The 19702-nt window shown below is 45.7% G+C and overlaps 2 protein-coding genes and 1 non-coding gene across 18 annotated transcripts in view, besides 9 other annotated features; 2 read left to right on the top strand and 1 right to left on the bottom strand.

The window, feature by feature from the left end:
* ZMYM5 (zinc finger MYM-type containing 5) overlaps positions 1 to 3861 on the bottom strand; it is a 40168-nt gene extending 36307 nt beyond the window's left edge. For 4 of the 15 annotated variants that reach the window (XM_047430768.1, NM_001142684.2, NM_001039649.3 and 1 more), the window contains exons 1-2: positions 3662 to 3861; positions 2611 to 2678 (exon numbers count right to left, since the gene is read on the bottom strand). Coding sequence is in view for 5 of the 15 variants with exons in the window: in XM_011535310.3 (XP_011533612.1) it covers positions 2611 to 2678; positions 3036 to 3038 (71 nt within the window). In the remaining 10 variants the exon portion in view is untranslated. Of the gene's footprint in view, positions 1 to 2610; positions 2679 to 3035; positions 3582 to 3661 lie in introns of those variants that run through there. The other 11 variants (XM_006719894.4, XM_047430772.1, XM_047430770.1 and 8 more) reach the window with 5 other exon arrangements.
* Positions 2798 to 3047: an enhancer, noted in NCBI's record as "active region_7410". NCBI's record gives its function as "activates an Ori minimal core promoter by ATAC-STARR-seq in GM12878 lymphoblastoid cells {active_cell/tissue: GM12878}" and the evidence as "EXISTENCE:reporter gene assay evidence [ECO:0000049][PMID:35858748]".
* Positions 3268 to 3447: a silencer, noted in NCBI's record as "silent region_5140". NCBI's record gives its function as "represses an Ori minimal core promoter by ATAC-STARR-seq in GM12878 lymphoblastoid cells {active_cell/tissue: GM12878}" and the evidence as "EXISTENCE:reporter gene assay evidence [ECO:0000049][PMID:35858748]".
* Positions 3808 to 4297: a silencer, noted in NCBI's record as "silent region_5141". NCBI's record gives its function as "represses an Ori minimal core promoter by ATAC-STARR-seq in GM12878 lymphoblastoid cells {active_cell/tissue: GM12878}" and the evidence as "EXISTENCE:reporter gene assay evidence [ECO:0000049][PMID:35858748]".
* Positions 3808 to 4695: a biological region, named in NCBI's record as "NANOG-H3K27ac-H3K4me1 hESC enhancer GRCh37_chr13:20437895-20438623".
* Positions 3967 to 4695: an enhancer, noted in NCBI's record as "NANOG-H3K27ac-H3K4me1 hESC enhancer chr13:20437895-20438623 (GRCh37/hg19 assembly coordinates)". NCBI's record gives its function as "activates a minimal SCP1, AML or CMV promoter by ChIP-STARR-seq in naive H9 embryonic stem cells {active_cell/tissue: H9 hESC(naive)}" and the evidence as "EXISTENCE:reporter gene assay evidence [ECO:0000049][PMID:30033119]".
* ZMYM2 (zinc finger MYM-type containing 2) overlaps positions 4052 to 19702 on the top strand; it is a 225276-nt gene continuing 209625 nt past the window's right edge. For both annotated transcript variants that reach the window (XM_047430584.1, XM_047430585.1), the window contains exon 1: positions 4052 to 5828. The gene's annotated coding sequence lies outside the window, so the exon portion shown is untranslated. The remainder of the gene's footprint in view (positions 5829 to 19702) is intronic.
* Positions 4468 to 4687: an enhancer, noted in NCBI's record as "active region_7411". NCBI's record gives its function as "activates an Ori minimal core promoter by ATAC-STARR-seq in GM12878 lymphoblastoid cells {active_cell/tissue: GM12878}" and the evidence as "EXISTENCE:reporter gene assay evidence [ECO:0000049][PMID:35858748]".
* Positions 4698 to 4757: an enhancer, noted in NCBI's record as "active region_7412". NCBI's record gives its function as "activates an Ori minimal core promoter by ATAC-STARR-seq in GM12878 lymphoblastoid cells {active_cell/tissue: GM12878}" and the evidence as "EXISTENCE:reporter gene assay evidence [ECO:0000049][PMID:35858748]".
* Positions 5138 to 5257: an enhancer, noted in NCBI's record as "active region_7413". NCBI's record gives its function as "activates an Ori minimal core promoter by ATAC-STARR-seq in GM12878 lymphoblastoid cells {active_cell/tissue: GM12878}" and the evidence as "EXISTENCE:reporter gene assay evidence [ECO:0000049][PMID:35858748]".
* Positions 8555 to 8634: a silencer, noted in NCBI's record as "silent region_5142". NCBI's record gives its function as "represses an Ori minimal core promoter by ATAC-STARR-seq in GM12878 lymphoblastoid cells {active_cell/tissue: GM12878}" and the evidence as "EXISTENCE:reporter gene assay evidence [ECO:0000049][PMID:35858748]".
* LOC124903265 (small nucleolar RNA U13) lies at positions 15399 to 15497 on the top strand. The gene has a single exon (XR_007063964.1). It is a non-coding gene; the product is annotated as a small nucleolar RNA U13 (small nucleolar RNA).

The raw sequence follows: 19702 nt of genomic DNA on the forward strand, positions 1-19702 counted from the left end.
TTTAAATAAAAATTTTTAAAAAACTAATTACACAGGCCGGGTGTGGTAGTGGGTGCCTATCATCCCAGCACTTTGGGAGGCCAAGGCGGGCGGATCACTTAGGTCAGGAGTTCGAGACCAGCCTGGCCAACATGGTCAGTCCCTTGTCTCTACTAAAAATACAACAATTAGCCAACGTGGTGGCATGTACCTATAGTCTCAGCTACTCAGGAGGCTGAGGCACAAGAATCGCTTGAGCCCAGGAGGCAGAGGTTGCAGTGAGCCTAGATCACGCCATTGCACTCCAGCCTGGGTGACAGGGCAAGACTGTCTCAAAAAAAAAAAAAAAAAAAAAAAGAGGAAAAAAAAAGAATTATAGATGGAGTCTCACTCTGTCGCCCAGGCTGGAGTGCAGTGGTGTGATCTTGGCTCACTGCAACCTCCGCCTCCTGGGTTCAAGTGATTCTCCTGGCTCAGCCTCCTGAGTAGTTGGAATGACAGGCACCCACCAGCACACCCGTTTAATTTTTTTTTTTTTTTTTGAGACAGAGTTTTGCTCTTGTTGCCCAGACTGGAGTGCAATGGCACAATCTCGGCTCACCATAACCTCTGCCTCTCAAGTAGCTGGTATTACAGGCATGTGCCACCAGGCCCGGCTAATTTTGTGTGTGTGTGTGTGTATGTGTGTGTGTGTGTGTGTGTGTATTTTTTTTTTTGTAGTGACAGGGTTTCTCCATGTTGGTCAGGCTGGTCTTGAACTCTCGACCTCAGGTGATCTGCCTGCCTTGGCCTCCCAAAGTACTGAGATTCCAGGTGTGAGTCACCATGCCCAGCCCATTTTTGTATTTTTAGTAGAGACGGGGTTTCACCATGTTGACCAGGCTAGTCTCGAACTTCTGACCTCAGGTGATCCACCCACCTCGGCCTCCCAAAGTGCTGGGATTACAGGTGTGAGCCACCATGCCCAGCCAACACTTCTAATATAAAAAGAACTGCTGGAAATTAAAAGCTTAGTGGCAAAAAGGAAAAATTCAGCAATAAGAATTGAAAGATAAAGCTGAGAAAAATCTCAAGAAATAAAGGAAAAAATAAAGAGGATAAGGATTATATCTCAGGTGGGGGGGGGGGAATTGTATCTCCCACTAACTATATGCATGTATATGCGCACGTGTGTGTGTGTGTGTGTGTGTGTGTGTCTCAAACCTTATGGACCAGGCTTTTTTTTTTTTCTTAAGACAGGGTATGGCTCTGTCGCCCAGCCTGGAATGCTATGGCACAAACACAGTTCACTGCAGACTCAACCCCCTGGGCTCAAACAATCCTCCCAGCTTGGCCTCTCAGAGTGCTGGGATTACAGGAGTGAGTCACAGTGCCCAGAGCCACTTTACCCATTTTTTTTGAGACAGACTCTCTCTTTGTTGCCCAGGCTGGAGTATAGTGGTGTGATCACTGCTCACTGCAGCTTCAACCTCCTGAACTCAAGCGATCCTCCCACCTCAGCTTTCTGAGTAGCTGGGACTACAGGCATGTGCCACCATGCTCAGCTAATTTTTGTATTTTTTGTAGAGAAAGAGTTTTGCCATGTTGTCCACACTGGAACTCCTGGGCTCAAGCTCTCAAGCTATCCACCCACCTCAGCCTCCCAAAGTGGTTGGATGACAGGCATGAGCCACTGTGCCCAGCCACTTTACCTACCTACCACATCCTGCCACAGTCCTAAGTTTAACTAATTAAAGAGATATGCTGTGAAATGTAAGAAAATAAGAGCAAATAAGTTAGTAGAAAGCAACTAGGGTAAAAGGAAGGCAGGAATACTACTATGGGAGATAAGCTAATCACAAGTTTGTTTTTGATGAGCAATGGAAAACTGTTTGATCAGGGTTGAAAGGACAAAATTGGCAAGAACTGAATCCCAGATAATAAAAATAGAAGTAAAGCTTGTTAAAGAAAAAAAAATCATTTTGTCACTCCTAATGAAATTATTCACACAAGGATTGGTGTTAAAAGCATTAAGTGAATAGCTGACAGAGAAAGGGCATTTGTACTGTACCAAAATGAACACATAGATCACTGTCTAGTAGCAAAAAAAAAAAACCCGAAAAAACAAAAACAAACATTAACTTCCTAACAGAGAGAGATCAGGCCACTCAGATTCGGTGGTCAATCTTAGAATTAGGAATAGTTTGACAACTAGTTTATGTTATCTCCTCGTGTGATGCTAGCTGGAGGACTGTCAGGGTACATAAATAACAGTCTTCCTCAAATACAAGGCAAATATCAACGTCAAAACAACAGATTATTCAGTAGTGTTTCTTTTTAATCCAACAGTAAAAAAGTTTTTCCAATCTACTGGAAAAGAAAAAATTGTTAAATTCAAGGCACTTAAAAGAGAGCTAACTTTAAATCTTGTTCTGGAACTTGAGAGAGTTCCAGTGGTATAAATGTCAGCACTCCCCGTGCCTTCCCAGGGACTACCATGGCTTGGCTCTGGGGACAGGGGCACCCAAGCAATTAGCTTGAAGGCCAAGGCCTTCAAGATAACACAAAGGCAAATCCCTCAGGAAGAACACCCTACTACTGCACTAATTATATTAGACAGCAAAGCGGGGTAAAAAAAAAAAAACAACTCACAATGGAGATATTTCCTTCTTAATTTCTGCCAAAGCCTCACGACATAGGCTTGAAGGTGATTCCTGGTCCTAGAATGAGAATTGAAAACCAATTTCGGTACAACCAATCTGGATGCACAACCAACTCAACACCGTGAGGTGGCAAAGGGGTAAGAGGCCAAGGAGTTCCTGGGCTCTGCTACCCTCCCCCACCCTAATGTTACCGAGAAACTAAGTTGAAAAAAAAGAACTATAGGAACCGCAACGACGAGACAAAGCTAAAAGTGCTTCGTCCAACTGCAGTACTGGGGATGCAGTGGGCTCGGGGATCCGAGGCCTGCTCCCAGGACGGGAGAGGGAAGGGTAAACGTCGTCTCGACGCCAGCAAGGGATTTGTATTCCCTCCTAAATTTGCCCACCCAGCGTCATCTCTGTCACTCCAAGCACCATTTCAGAGGTAACGGGCGGCGCGCATCACCTCTGGGCCCACAGTTGCCTCAAGAAGTTGCCCTGGGGCCCCAGCAGTCGACGACAGGGCCCCAGATCCGCCATTAAACTCGCCCAGATCAGCAGCAAAGAGTAAAAGCCGCGCAGCGCCTGGGAAAAGATGAGCGAAGGAGGGGACCCAGCGGGGCAGAGGCAGAAGCCCTCGCCCGAAAAACCTGGGGACCTCGGCTCCGGCGGCAGGGTGGCAGCGCGGTCCTGACAGCGAAGACCCGGCCGGGGCGCCCCTCCCTCGCCCAACCCGCCCCCCGCCACTATGCGGCAGGAGAGAAAGAAAAATGCCCCGCGACCTCCCCGGGCGGCCGGCAACCCGCCCCGCCACCCCGCCTCCCCGCCGGCCCCGCGACCTCCGCCGCTGGCGACCGCCTCACCCAACCCTCCCGGCCTCGCTCGCACTCTCCCAGCCCCTCAGGCCGGACGCAAAAGCGCCGGTGACAGGAGGGCAGCCCCGAGCTGCCCTCGAGGCCCCGAAGCGGCAACGGCGACGGCGGCCGCGCCGCGGGGTATTAATCCCGGGTCGGTGGGAGCCTCCGGAGGCTGCTCTCACCCATCTCCGCCTCCCCACTCACCTCGGCCTCCGCCTCCTCCTCCGGAGGCTGCGCTGCTCCCAGCCACCCCCACTCTCAGCGGCCCTGGACTGGAAAGACAGCGGGGATAAGCGTCACCCGGTTCTGGCTGCGGCTGCGCGGAACGAACAAGCCCACCCCGCTTCGGCGACAAGCACAACTCCGCGAGGTCCAGTCCCGGCTTTTCGCGCTGGTGAGGAGGCGGAGAAGCAGGGGACGGCGCAGCAGAGCCCGAGGAGGCCCCACCCTCCGTGCGCTCGTTGGCTGGCGAGGGAGACGAGCCTGGGCGCCTTGGGCACGCCCATTGGCTCCGACGGCCGTCCTTCAGGGCGCCCCCTCGGTGGGGTGGCCGAAGAGCTGTCCGTCAGGTGCGGGCCACACCCGCGGCCCTGCAGTTCCACTCCCGCCTGCCAGCCCTCAACTCCCGGTCGGGTTGTCTCCCCGCCGGTCTCCCGCCCCCAGCTACCGGGTCCGCCAGGGTCAGGAGCCCGAGATTCGCCGCCCGTCGTAGCGGCCCGCTTCGGCCCCTCGGGGCCCGGGGCTCTCCGGGACCTACACAGCCCGGGAGACTCCGGCGGGGCTGCCTGCCCTCGCCCGAGCCCGGGGGCCCAAGCTGCGGCAGCGGCTCCCAACGCCTCTGCTCGAGGAGAGCGGCGGCCTGGATGCCCCAGCGCCCTCCCTGTCCAGTTCCTTGAAGGCCCCCAAGAGGGGCGAGGCCGGGGAGGTGCTGGAGCGGGGCCAAGTGAGCTTTCGGGGCCGCGGTTGAACTGGAGTCTTGAGTGCGCTGCGGTCAGTGGAGGCCCTTCCACCCTCGCCGCGCCCCGTGGGGAATAGTCCCCCACCTCCCGCCATGGCTGCAGCAGGAGGAGACGACGTCCTCCATTTTGTCGGGACAACTGTGGGAACTTGGGACCCCTCAAAACCAAACCCCGTGGGGCCAGGACTTGTCCCGGAAGCCCCGACTGGGCTCTGCCATTCGGACAAGGGAACAGCCCCAGCTGCCGGCGTCTGCGTCCGCGGGGCAGTACTGGTCGGGCGCGACGGTGGAGACACCCAGACGCAGCTCCCCGCCTCCATCAACCAAGATGGAGGGAGCTGCAGGCTCCCTTGGAGCTGGGCTCTCGCGGGTTGGAGGGGCTGAGGCCTGCCCTGGGGCGTCCCTGGGCGCCGCCGTCCTGTGCTAGCAGCCCGGGGCGCTGGCCCTGCCTAGGCCTTTTTACTGCCTGCCACCGTCTCCTGGTCCGGAATGGTTGATGGAGACTCCATGGAGGCTCCCTCCACAGCCCGCTCTATCGCGGGGCGCACCCGCTGCGGCCCCTGCGGGGAGCAGAATCAGGGACAGATGGCGCCCGGTGAGGGCGGGCCCCACAGGCCACCTCCACGAGGGGTCTTCTCTTTTGTTCCTCGTCTACACCTACGTCTTCGGCGGATGTCATGGTGCTGAACCATTTCCCGGACTCCACGTAAAGATGGAAGCGATTCCGCTTTCGTCTCGCCCTGGCGGTTCTTAGTGGGATTACAATTGAGGATGTTAGTTTGGATGAAAGTTGGTGAAATACTTACCTTATGTCTGGAAATACAGATAATGTGATTTTTAAAAAACACATTGAGCCCCGTTTTACTTCTGTGGTATGGTAAAGGCACAGGTTTATTCAATGAAAATCAGACGTTAACCATCTAATGCAGGGGTGGCCAATCTTTTGGCTTCCCGGGGCCACATTGGAAGAATTGGCTTGGGCCACACATAAAATACGCTAACAGTAACAATAGCTGATGAGCTAAAACAAACGAAAAAACCAAAACGCCAAAAAAATCTCATAACGTTTTAAGAAAATTTACAAATATGTGTTGGGCTGCATTCAAAGCCGTCCTGGGCCGCATGCAACCCCCAAGGGCTGCAGGTTGGACAAGCTTGATCTAAGACAAAAGCATGTTCACGGATTGATGAGAGTTCTGTGTAAGCCTTTGCATATTGCATAGTGCTGTATGTCATGGATATGCCTAATATCACCTACATTTTTTAGGTCCTCAGTTACTCTTTGGAAATAAGTGAATTACATGTAATGTCATCATTTTAATGACTGCTGTAAATTACAAGCACTGACTACCCTGAGTTCGTGGAGAAGGGCTCCATAGAGAAAATTTGAAGGTCTGACAGAAACTTTAAATGGTAAGCTCAGTAGCCACTTGTCATCTATTTTCTGATTATCTTTTTCACAATTTTTTGGCATTGATACTGTTCAAAGATTAAAATTGGGTAACATTTCTTTTTCCTGATAGTGGCAGGAATGACAGGTTCATGTCCCAATGAAAACGCTCACCTCAGTATGCTGCCATGATTTCGAGGGTTGTCGAAAATTTAGGAAAAAAAAGTCTTCATTGTTCAACAAGATAGTGTCATTTATTGTAAATCTTTTGATAATTCAGGACTCCCGGCTAATACAAAGTCACAGCATTATGACCAAGTCTACACAAAGGGGCCAGATAGCCTGCCTTTGAATCGTACTTTATTACTAGTAGCTGTGTGATCATCTTAACAGATAAGTTACTTAAACTCAGCCTCACTTTTATCATTTAAAAAATGTAACAAATACTTAAGATTTTTTTTTTTTGAGAATTAAATGAATTGGCCGGGCACAATGGCCCACGCCTGTAATCCCAGCTATTTGGGAGGCTGAGGCAGGAGAATCACTTGAACCCAGGAGGTGGAGGTTGCAGTGAGCCGAGACTGCATCACTGCACTCCAGTCTGGGCAACACAGCAAGACTGTATCTCAAAAAAAGAAAAACAAAAAACAAGCAAAAAAAGAATTAAATAAATTATCACACATATGACACTTAGAATTGCACCTGGCACATTAATTAATAAAAGCTTGTAAATTTTGCCTGTCATTGTTAATTCCCAATCAGCACAGTGGTACACTAAAAAAAAAATTCTGGCCCGGTGCGGTGGCTCACACTTGTAATCCCAGCACTTTGGAAGGCCGAGACGGGCAGATCACCTGAGGTCAGGAGTTTGAGACCAGCTTGACCAACATGGCGAAACCCCGTCCCTACTAAAAGTACAAAAGTAGCCGGGCGTGGTGGCGCATGCCTGTAATTCCAGATACTCGGGAGGCTGAGGCAGGAGAATCACTTGTACCTGGGAGGTGGGGTTGCGGTGAGCCGAGATTGCACCATTGCACCCCAGACTGGGCAACAAGGGCGAAACTCCGTCTCAAAAACTAACTAAATAAATAGGAAAAAATTCTTCCAGCCTAGGTAACATAGTGGGACCCAGTCTCTACAAAAAATTTTAAAAATTAGCCAGAAGTGGTGCATGCCTGTAGTCCCAGCTACTCAGGAGGCCGAGGTGGGAGGATCACTTGAGCCCAGGAGGTCAAAGCTGCAGTGAGCCATGATTGTGCCACTGCACTCCAGCATCTGGGTGCAGAGTGAGACCCTGTCTCAAAAACAAAAAAAAAAGTTGTTTATAATAATTTAATGACTTATTAAAGTAACATCAGCACTTTCTTACTATTGTAATATGAAAATATTTAATTCTTGGAGTTAATATGTAAAATAAACCGTAGAGGAAATGTAATTGGAACCAAAATTTATTTATTCTTTGAAAGTGGCTTAGTACAGCCAGGCGCGGTGGCTCACGCCTGTAATCCCAGCACTTTGGGAAGCTGAGGCGGGTGGATCACCTGAGGTCGGGAGTTCGAGACCAGCCTGACCAACATGGAGAAACCCCGTCTCTGCTAAAAATACAAAAATTAGCCAGGCGTGGTGGCACATGCCTGTAATCCCAGCTACTTGGGAGGCTGAGGCAGAATTGCTTGAACTTGGGAGGCGGAGGTTGCCGTGAGCAGAGATCGCGCCATCGCACTCCAGCCTGGGCGACAAGAGCGAAACTCCATCTCAAAAAAAAAAAAAAAAGTGTTGTCTTACAATATTCTTAAATTGTCATCCCAAGTAATTCATAGGGATATTAGAAACATAGATCAAAAACAACTGGGGTGGGGAAGAGAGAAAAGAGACTGAGGGAATTAATGCTTATCTTGGACAAACCAGTGAAAAGCTATTTTAAGCAATAAATAATGAAAATTTATTAGAAGAGAAGGAACAGAATCTAAGATTGAAAAAGCATGAGATGACTGGTTGCTATATTTTTAAAAAGATCTCTAGAATCAGTAGGATGCTTTTTTTTTTCTTTGAGATGGAGTCTTGCTCTGTTGCCCAGGCTGGAGTGCAGTGGCGCAGTCTTGGATCACTGCAACCTCCGCCTCCCGGGTTCGAATGATTCTCCTGCCTCAGACTCTAGAGTAGCTGGCATTACAGGCATGCGCCACCACGTCCAGCTAATTTTTGTATTTTTAGTAGAGATGTGGTTTCACCATGTTGGCCAGGCTGGTCTCGAACTCCTGACCTCAAGTGATCTGCCCACCTCAGCCTCCCAGAGTACTGGGATTACAGGCGTAAGCCACTGCACCCAGCCTGAAACCAGTTTTATCTAAGACTGCTGAGATGGCTTGCTGCAACTTTAGGATTAATTTTGGCCACTGCCGTTGCTCACCATTTGGAGCTTGCCAGCTCCCCAGAACCTTACTAGTGCCAGAGAGCTTTCTCAACAAGCAATAGGTAACATTTCTCTTTTTCATAAAACCCCCAACCTTCTCTTTGTTCCTCAGACATGAAGAAAACCACCTGATCTGTGTATATGCCCCCAGCTGCAATTCTTTCTCTCCAAATAAAATGTTAGAGTTTCATCTCTACATTTTTATTTTTATATCAACAGTTGTTTTACAAATACCTTTCAAAGGGATCAATTATTTTACTATGATGAGCACAGTCAGAGATTAAAGCTTATGTAGTAGCTTTTGCTTTTAATCTATCCTAGGTATTCTATTGATAGTCATAGTGTTTCAACTTCGGTCATTTCAACTTTGCTTCTGAGCCCTTTTGATATGATCTGAGTCATCTTTCATATTTCCTTGCTTTCTGTTATAATGAGATGTTCCATCGTTGCCTACATTTCTTGACCCACACCTGAATCTGTCATTTTTTCAAACCATTGTTTTCTTTTAGTGGGACATAGTAGTTAAGGAGCAAAATCTAGAAGCTAGGAGTATTTATTGCTCTACGTGGTCATTGTTTATAGGCTTTTCAGGGAACAGAGCTAGGAATGAATATGTTATATTAGCATTATAACATGAATTCATACTGAAACACACGGTTTTTTCTGAAACTCACTGATCTTACATTTGCATTTCTTTTGTCTCATGCCAAATAGTCCAGTTCTCAAAAATAGAACCAAATTATTATTATTATTATTATTTTTGAGACAGAATCTTATTCTGTTGCCCAGGCTGGAGTGCAGTGGCACAATATCGGCTCACTGCAACTTCCACCTCCTGGGTTTCAGCTATTCTCAGGCCTCAGCCTCTGGAGTAGCTGGGATTACAGGCGCCTGCCACCATGCCTGGCTAATTTTTGTATTTTTAGTAGAGACGGGGTTTCACCACATTGCCCAGGCTGGTCTTGAACTCCTGACCTCAAGTGATCCACCCTCCTCAGCCTCCCTAAGTGCTGGGATTACAGGCGTGAGCCACCGCACCCGGCCCATAAATCTTATTTGCTTTATCCTACACAGATGCCACTATCACAGAATAAAAATACATACAAATACCACCCACAATACAATTAATAAAAATAATTTAAACTTAGTTTACAGTTACTTTTTTCCTTAGAGAAATTCCAACTTACTATGCACAGTAATTTGAAGTGTGTAAAGTCAGATGGTGTTTCTTGCTAGATGGTTATGCTGCCAACTGGATACACAAGTTTTACTTGTTTCATTTTACTTTCTATTTTTATTGATTTCTTTTTTTAACTTAAATTATGTTCTATAAGTATATGAAATATTAACATGGAGTATGGGAAAAAGAAATCAGTGTTAAGATATTCTGACGTTCTTATATTTTGTAAGAGAAGGGCATGTATGTAAATAGGTATTTTAAAATCAAATATATATTAGCTATATAAGCATAGCTACTAAAAGAATAAAAAATTAGTACTGGCTGGGCGTGGTGGCTCATGCCTATAATCCTAGCACTTTGGGAGGCCGAGGCAGGTGGATCACTTGAGCCCAAGAGTTTCAGACCAGCCTGGGCAACATGGCAAAATCCTGTCTCTACAAAAAAACAACAAAATTACCTGGGCTTGGTGGTACATGTCTGTATTCCCAGCTATTCAGGAGTGAGGGGCTGAGGATCGCTTGAGCCCGGAAGGTTGAGGCTGCAGTGGGCTGTCATTGTGCCACTGCATTCCAGCCTAGGCAACAAAGGGAGATGCTGTCTCAAACCAAAAAAATAAATAAATAAATAAAAAAGAATAATTAGTAGTGATGGGAAAAAGAAAACTTGAACAATCACACAGGAGGCAGGATAATAGTCTATTACTGCCTAACAAATTACCTAAAAACTTAGTGGGTTAAAATAACAAATACTTATCGTGTCTGTTATTGTAGGTCAAGAACTGGGAAGAAGCTCACCTGGGTGGCCCTGACTCAGGGTCTCTCATGAGGTTGCAGTCCACACGTAGGCCAGGGCTGCAGTCGTATGAAGGCCTGACAGGGGCTGATGGATCTGCTTATAAGCCCACTCATGTGGCTATTAGCACGAGGCTTCAGCTCTTCTCTAGTTGTCTCCAAAGTGGTACACTGCCTTTTTTATTTATTTATTTTCAAGACAGGGTCTTTCTCTGTCTCCCAGGCTGGAGTGCAGCAGTGCAGTCACAGCTCACTGCAACTTCCGCCTCCTGGGCTCCAGCAATCCTCTTGCCTCAGCCTCCCAAGTAGCTGAGACTACAGGTATGTACCACCATACCCAGCTAATTTTTGTATTTTTTGTAGTTGCCCAGGCTGGTCTCAAACTCCTGAGCTCAAGCAATCCACCTGCCTTGGCTTCCCAAAGTGCTGGGATTACAGGTGTGCACCACTGCGCCTGACCATACACTGTCATTTCTCTTTCTCTCTTCTTTCCTTCCTTCCTTCCCCTCCTTTCCCTTCCCTTCCCTCCCTCCCTCCCTCTTTCTCTCTTTCTTTCTTTCTCTTTCTTTCTTTCTTCCTTCCTTCCTTCCTTCCTTCTTTCCTTTCCTTCCTTCCTTCCTTTCTTTCTTTCTTTCCTTCTTTTTTGAGACAGAGTCTCGCTCTATTGCCCAGGCTGGTGTGCAGTGGCACAGTGCACAGATCACAGTAGTGCGATCTCGGCTCACTGCAGCCTCTGCCACCCGGGTTCAAGCGATTCTTGTGCCTCAGCCTCCCTAGTAGCTGGGATTACAGGCATGAGCCACCACACCTGGCTAATTTTTGTATTTTTAGTAGAGACGGGGTTTCACCATGTTGGCCAGGCTGGTCTCCGACTCCCGACCTCAGGTGATCCACCCACTTCGGCCTCCCAAAGCGCTGGGATTACAGGCTTGAACCACTGCGCCTGGCCTTACACTGTCATTTCTATTGAAGTCATTAGAAGCAAGTCACTAAGTGCTTCCCACAGTCAAGCAGAGGGGAATTGGGCAGTAAAAATTAAATGGAAAAGTACCAGAGAATATGTGGACATATGTTAAAACTGTCACAGGCAGAAAGGAGAAAAAAAATAAGCAAAACAAAAATAGAAAACAAAATAAAATGCTAAAAACGAATATGAATAGACATTATGCTTGCCTATTGAAAGAGAAATACTTGAAGATTGGATTTTTTAAAATGGTAGCAATGTATGGTTTATGATATGCTGCAAATTATAATAACACAGAAAGTAAAGAGATAAAAAATGTATACTAGAGAAATATTAAGCAAAAGAAAGTGAAACAACAATAATGTATAAAATAGACATTTTTGCAAAGTGCATTACTAGGCAAAAGAACGATTACTTATTGATAAAAAAAGAACAATTAACTAGAGAATTCTAAGGGTTTTGTTTTTATTTTATTTTTATTTTTATTTTCATTGATAGAGCATGGGGTCATGCTCTATCGCCCAGGCTGGAGTACAGTAGCCAACTCCTGTGCTCAAGCAGTCTTCCCACCTCAGCCTCCTGAGTAGCTGGGACTACAAGCACGTGCCACCATGCCCAGCTCAGTTTAGAAACTGCATGCACCTTACATATGGAATCATTCATAACTATATGGTGAAACTGAAAAATCCATAATTATGCTACACTTTCATAAAGTCATGCAGAAAAAAAATCTCTTTAGCACATATATGGCTCTAATTTATACTAAATGTAAAAAATTGATCTGCACCCAATAATGAGGAAATGACTAATTTTTCAATATGTGAAACATTTACACAAACTGAATACTAACTGGATCATAAGGGATTTCTCAACAAATATTAAAGAATGGATCATGTACACATGGCATTCCCTGACTGCAATGCACAAAGGAAAGTTAATAATAAAAAATCGGAAAGTAATATTTGGAGAAATTTTAAAATGCACATGTGTAGAAAATTTTAAGCAGACTCATGTATTTATTATTATTATTATTTTATTTTTATTTTTTGAGATGGTCTCACTCTGTTACCCTGGCTGGGGTGCAATGGTATAATCACAGCTCATTGCATCCTTGACCTCCTGGGTTCAGGTGATCCTCCCACCTCAGCTTCTAGAGTAGCTGGGATTACAGGTGTAAGCCACCATGTCTGGCTAAGTTCTTTTTTTTTTTTTTTAAATAAAAACGAGGTTTTGCCATGTTGCCCAGGCTGGCTGTGAACTCCTGAACTCAAGTGATCCACAGTGCCCATCCTCTGATTTGTTTATTAATTTTAAAAGTGGACTCTATGGCTAGGCACGGTGGCTCATGCCTGTAATCCCAGCACTTGGGAAGCTGAGGCGGGCAGATCAGTTGAGGCCAGGAGTTCAAGACCAGCCTGACCAACATGGTGAAACTCTGTCTCTACTGAAAATACAAAAATTAGCCAGGCATGGTGGTGGGTGCCTGTAATCCTAGGTACTTGGGAGGCTGAGGCAAGAGAATTCCTTGAACCCAGGAGGTGGAGGTTGCAGTGAGCCAAGATCGGGCCACTGCACTCCAGGCTGGGCAACAGAGTGAGACCCCATCTCAAAAATAAAAAATAAAAAAGTGGACTTCAAAACAATTCAAGGTCAAAGGAGAAATTTCAAACTTACAGAGTTGTATTTAAGACAATATGAATAATTATGTCTACGCTTTCATTCAGATTCTCTGATTGCTAACGTTTTGTTACATCTGCTTTAAAATCCCTTTTATAGACCAGGCGCGGTTGCTCATGACTGTAATCCCAGCACTTTGGGAGGCTGAGTCGGGTAGATCACTTGAGGCCAGGAGTTTGAGACCAGCCTGGGTAATATGACGAAACACCCCGTCTGCCTAAAATACAAAAATTAGCTGGGCATGGTGGTGCATGCCTGGAATCACAGTTATTTGGGAGGCTGAGGCATAAGAATCACTTGAACCCAGGAGGCCAGAGGTTGCAGTGAGCCAAGATCACGCCACTGCACTCCAGCCAGGGTGACAGAGTGAGACTCTACCCCAAAAAAAAATAAATAAATAAAATCCCTTTTATAGGCACATACTTAATTTTGGAGATAGTTTCAGGCATAATGTCTCTTTATCTTTAAATCCTCAGCATGTGTTAAAGAACAAGAGCATTGCAGCCATAATGACAGAGCAAGTATCACTCATACTGATAGAATAATATTATCTAGTACTCAGATTGTATCAATGGTCCCAATATTTTCCATTGTGGACGATCCTCCTCCCCTGACCAGGATCTGGTCCAGGAACAGGTGTTGCATTTACTTGCCGTGTCTCTTAGGTCTCCTTCAATCTGGAATGGCCCCTCGGCCTTTCCCTCTCTCATGACACTGACAGTTTTGAAGAGCCCAGGCCAGTGGTTTCCAGACAGAGTCAATTTTATTTATTTATTTATTTATTTATTTATTTATTTATTTATTTATTGAGGCAGAGTCTTGCTCTGTCGCCCAGGCTGGAGTGCAGTGGCGCGATCTTGGCTCACTGCAACCTCCGCCTCCCAGGTTCAAGTGATTCTCCTGCCTCAGCCTCCTGAATAGCTGTGATTACAGGCATGTGTCACCACGCCCAGCTAATTTTTGTATTTTTAGTAGAGACGGGGTTTTGCCATGTTGGTCAGGCTAGTCTCGAACTCCTGACCTTGTGATCCACCCACCTTGGCCTCCCAAAGTGTTGGGATTACAGGCGTGAGCCACCACGCCCAGCCCAGAGTCGATTTTAAACATGTTCCTCTGGTGATGCTGTTATTCTCTCCAGTTTGAGAACCACCACGTCAGAGGCGTCTTCCTGTCTGAACCATTCTTTCCTGCTGCTCTCAGGAAGGCAGAAAGGTACAGCTGGGCTCACCCCATACTCATCTGGGCCTCCCACACCCAACCCCATGCCTGGCACCCAATAGATACTCAATAAAAACTTGACTTGGTTGTTATATAGACCAGGTTTCCAGCCCATCTGTGCCACAGAGTGCGTTGGGCAAGGACTTCACCTTTCCAGGATCACTTCTCCCATCTGTGAATCTTGGTTTTTGGGTGGAGAGTGGGTGGAACTAGGTGATCTTTAAAGGCTCTTGCAGCTTTGGTTGTTGCCTCTCAAAAGGACCTCTTTCCTCCCACTCCAGGAGCTGGATTAACTGTCTTAGGTCTCCCAAGTCAGTGCCTCATTCATCAAATACTTATGAATCACCTATGAGGCGGAACCTGGGACTTGATTTTCTTTATTTCTTTTTCTTTTTCTTTTTGAGACAGAGTCTTGCTCTGTCGCCAAGGCTGGAGTGCAGTAGCGTGATCACAGCTCACTGCAACCTCAAACTCCTGAACTCAAGGGATCCTCCCACCTCAGTCTTCTAAGTGGCTGGGACTTCAGGTGTGCACCACCACACCCAGCTAATATTTATTTATGTATTTATTTATTTTTAGAGATGGAGGGTCTCGCTATGTTGCCCAGGCTGGTCTCTAACTCCTGGGCTCAGGAGATCCTCCCACTTCAGCTTTTCAAGTAGCTGGGATTAGAGATGTGATCCACATTGCCCGGCTCATTCCAATCTTCACTTCCATGGTCACATTGCTTTCTCCTCTTCTGGATGTCAAATCTCTCTTGGCATCCCTCTTGTAGGAATATATGTGATTGCTTTTAGAGCACATGCTGATTATTCCACACTTTCCCTAACTCATAATCCTTAATTTAATCATATTTGCCAATGTTTGCCATGTAAGAAAAGATATACAGATTTTAGGGAGTAGGACCTGATAGCTTTGGGGTCCATTATTAAGCCTACTACAGCTAGTGAGAGCTATTAAAGTTGGCTCCAAATAAACATATGAAAAAATACTCATCATCACTAATAATCAGAGAAACACAAATTAACATCATGATGAGATACCAGTCAGAATGGCTATTATTAAAAAGTCAAAATATAACAGATGTGGGTGAGGCTATGGAAAAAAGGGAACACTCATACACTGTTGGTGGGAATGTAAATTAGTTCAGCCCCTGTGGAAAGTAGTTTGGAGATTTCTCAAAGAACTAAAAATAGAATTGCCACCTGAGCCAGCAGTCCCATTACTGGGTATATACCCAAAGGAAAATAAATTGTTCTACCAAAAAGACGTCTGCACTAGTATGCTCATCACAGCAAAGTTATCAGCCTAGGTGCCCTCTACCAGCAGATTGGATAGAGACAATCTGGGATCCTTTTGGAGTTCATGAGTGTGAGAACTGGGTGTTCACCCGCATGTGTGAGATGTGCCACCCGCAAACCTTGTTATGACATCAGCACATTACTGAAAAAAAAAATCTGGTACATATGTACCATGGAATATTATGCAGCCATAAAAAATAATGACACTATTGCTGGGCGCAGCGGCTCACACCTGTAATCCCAGCACTTAGGGAGGCTGAGGCAGGCAGATCACGAGGTCAAGAGATGGAGACCATCCTGGCCAACATGGTGAAACCCTGTGTCTACTAAAAATACAAAAATTAGCTGGGTGTGGAGGTGCGCGCCTATAGTGCCAGCTATTCGGGAAGCTGAGGCAGGAGAATCGCTTGAACCCGGGAGGCGGAGCTTGCAGTGAGCCAAGATCACACCACTGCACTCCAGCCTGGCAACAGAGCAAGACTCCATCGCAAAAAAAAAAAAAAAAAAAAAAAAAATTATGTTATTGTTTCCTTTGCAGCAACATGGAAGCAGCTGGAGGCCATTATCCTAGGTGAATTAACACCAAAACAGAAAACCAAATACTGCGTGTTCTCCCTTATGAGAGCTAAACATTGAGTACACATGGATATAAAGATAGGAACAATAGACTCTGGGGACTCTAAAAAGCGGGGAGGAAAAGAGGGGAAAAGGGTTGAAAAACTACCTATTGAGTACTATGTTCACTATTTGGGTGACGTGAAGGTTCAATAGAAGCTCAAAACTTCAGCATCACACAAAATATCCTAAATGAAACAAACCTAAACATGTACCCACTGAATCTGAAATTAAAAATAAATAAATAAAATTGGCTCCAGTGTCCTTTGTTCTTAAATTTTTTTTTTTTTTGAGTCGGAGTCTTGCTCTTGTCACCCAGGCTGGAGTGCAATGGTGTGATCTTGGCTCACTGCAATCTCCACCTCCCGGGTTCACGCCATTCTCCTGCCTCAGCCTCCCGAGTAGCTGGGATTACAGGCACCCACCACCATGCCCCACTAATTTTTGTATTTTTAGTGGAGACGAGGTTTCACCATGTTGGCCAGGCTGGTCTCAAACTCCTGACCTCCGGTGATCCGCCCGCCTTTGGCCTCCCAAAGTGCTGGGATTACATGCGTGAGCCACTACGCCTGGCTCTTTTACTTTTTTGAGATGGAGTCTCCCTCTGTCACCCAGGCCGGAATGCAGTGGCACGATCTCGGCTCACTGCAACCTCCGCCTCCCAGGTTCAAGTGATTCTCCTGCCTCAACCTCCTGAGTAGCTGCGACTACAGGCACGTGCCACTACACTGGCTAAGTTTTTATATTTTTGGTAGAGACGGGGTTTCACCATTTTGGTCAGGCTGGTCCCAGACTCCTGACCTCAAGTGATCTGCCTGCCCTGACCTCCCAAAGTGCTAGGATTACAGGCGTGAGCCACCTCGCCTGGCCTAAAATTTTTCAAAAAGTATGATAAAATACATATAAAATTTACCCTATTAACTATTTTTAAGTGTACAGTTCGATGGTACTAACTTCATTCATATTGTTGTGTAACCATCACCATCACCCATTTTCAGAACTTTTCTTATCTTGCAAAAAGTGAAGCTCTGTACCTATTAGACAATAACTCCCCATTTCCCCTGACAACCAGCATTCTACTTTCTGTATGTATGAATTTGACTGCTCAAGGTACCTTATGTGTCTTAGTCTATTTTGTGTTGCTAAACAGAATACCTGAGACTGGATAATTTCTTTTAAAAAGAAGTTTATTGGCCAGGCGGTGGCTCACGCCTGTAATCCCAGCACTTTGGGAGGCCGAGGCGGGCGGATCACGAGGTCAGGAGATCGAGACCATGGTGAAACCCCGTCTCTACTAAAAATACAAAAAATTAGCTGGGCGCAGTGGCGGGCGCCTGTAATCCCAGCTACTCAGGAGGGTGAGTCAGGAGAATGGCGTGAACCCGGGAGGCGGAGCTTGCAGTAAGCCGAGATTGTGCCACTGCACTCCAGCCTGGGCGACAGAGCGAGACTCCGTCTCAAAAAAAAAAAAAAAAACAAAGAAGTTTATTTAGCTTATGGTTCTGCAAGCTGAGAAGTTGAAGGGGCATGGTGCCTGCATCTGCTTCACTTCTGGTGAGAACCTCATGCTGCACTCATGTCAGAAAGTGGAAAGGGAGTAGACATGTGTAAAGAGATCACAAAGAAAGAGAGAAAGCAAGAGAGAGAAAAACCCAATGAAGCCAGACTCCTTTTACCTACCTACTCTCATGGGAACCAACCCATTCCTGTGAGAGTAAGAACCTGCCTCCTTGGGAAGGCATTCAGCTATTCATGAGGGATCCATCCCCAAGCCCAGATACTTCCCACTAGGCTCTGTCTTTCAACACTACTACATTGGGGAACAGATTTCAACATGAGTTTTGGTGGAGACAATATCCAAACCATAGCATTATGTAAGTGGAATATTATGTATTTTTCATTTTGTGACTGCCTTATTTCACTTAATGTAATATCCTTAAGGTTCATCCATGTGGCAGCATATGTCCAAATTTCCTTCCTTTTTAAGACTAAACAATATTCCACTGTATGTATGTACCACATCTTGCTTATCCACTTCTGCCGATGGACACTAAGGTTGCTTCCACATTTTAGCTACTGTGAATGATGCTGCTATAAATGTGGGTATACAAAGATATCTTGAAGACCCTGTTTTCATTTTTTTGACTATATACACCGAAGTGAAATCACTGGATTATATAGTAATTACATTTTAAATTTTTGGCTGTTTTCCACAGCATCTGTACCATTTTACATTCCCACCAACAGTGCACAAGGGTTCCAATTTCTTCACATTCTTGCCAACACTGATTACTTTTTGATTACTTTTTTTTTTTTTTGAGATGGAGTCTTGCTCTGTTGCCCAGGCTGGAGTGCAATGGCATGATCTCAGCTCACTGCAACCTCAGCCTCCTGGGTTCAATCGATTCTCCTGCGTCAGCTGCCCGAGTAGCTGGGACTACAGGCGTGCACCACCACACCCAGCTAATTTTTGTATTTTTAGTAGATACAGGGTTTCACCATGTTGGCCAGGCTGGTCTCGAACTCCTGACCTCAAGTGATCTGCCTGCCTCAGCCTCCCAAGGTACTGGGATTACAGGCGCAAGCCACTACACCTGGCCGGTAGTAGCTTTTTGATAGTAGTTATTCTAATTGATGTAAGGTGGTATCCAATTGTGGTTCTGATTTGCATTTCTCTGATTATTAGAGATGTCGAGCATCTTTTCATGTGCTTACTGGCATTCATGTATCTTGTTTGGAGAAATGTCTATTCAATTCCTTTGCCCTTTTTTTTTTTTTTTTTTTTTGAGATGGAGTTTCGCTCTTGTCACTCAGGCTGGAGTACAGTGGCACCATCTCGGCTCACTGCAACCTCTGCCTCCCGGGTTCAAGTGATTCTCCTGCCTCAGCCTCCCAAGTAGCTGGGATTACAGGCACTCACCACCATGCCTGGCTAATTTTTATATTTTTAGTAGAGACGGGGTTTCACCATGTTGGTCAGGCTGGTCTTGAACTCCTGACATCGGGTGATCCACCTACCTCGGACTCCCAAAGTGCAGGCATGAGGCACTGTGCCCAGCCCTTTGCCCATTTTTGAATCAGGTTATTTGTTTCTTTGCTGTTGAATTTTAGGAGTTATATATATAGACTGGAAATCAATCTCTTATCAGATATGTGTTTTACAAATATTTTCTCCTATTCTGTGGGTTGCCTTTTTACTCTGCTGACAGCATCTTTCCATGCAAAAAAATTTTTAATTTTTGCAAAGTCCAATTTGTCAATTTTTTCTCCTGTTGACTGTACCTTTACTGTCAGAACTAAGAGATCATTACCAAATCCAATGTAATGAATGTTTTCTTTTGTTTTCTTCTAAGAGTTTTATAGCTTAGCACTTACATTTAAGTCTTTGATTCATTTTGAGTTAATTTTTGTGTGTATTATAAGGTAAGAGTCCCAACTTCATTCTTCTGCATGTGAATATCCAATTTTCCCAGTATCATTCGTTGAAAAGACTGTCCTTTCCTCTTTGAATGGTATAGTACTCTTGTTGAAAATCATTTGAGGGTGGGCATGGTGGCTCATGCTTGTAATCCCAACACTTTTGGAGGCTGAGGTGGGCAAATTGCTTGAACTCAGGAATTTGAGGCCAGTGTGGGCAACATGGCAAAACCATTTTGTATTTTTCTACAAAAAATACAGAATTTAAGAAAAAAGAAAATAATTTGACCATAGCCACAAACGTTTACTTGTGGGCTCTCT

This window comes from Homo sapiens, chromosome 13 (assembly GCF_000001405.40).
Source record: "Homo sapiens chromosome 13, GRCh38.p14 Primary Assembly".
In the NCBI taxonomy this organism is placed as follows: domain Eukaryota; kingdom Metazoa; phylum Chordata; class Mammalia; order Primates; family Hominidae; genus Homo; species Homo sapiens.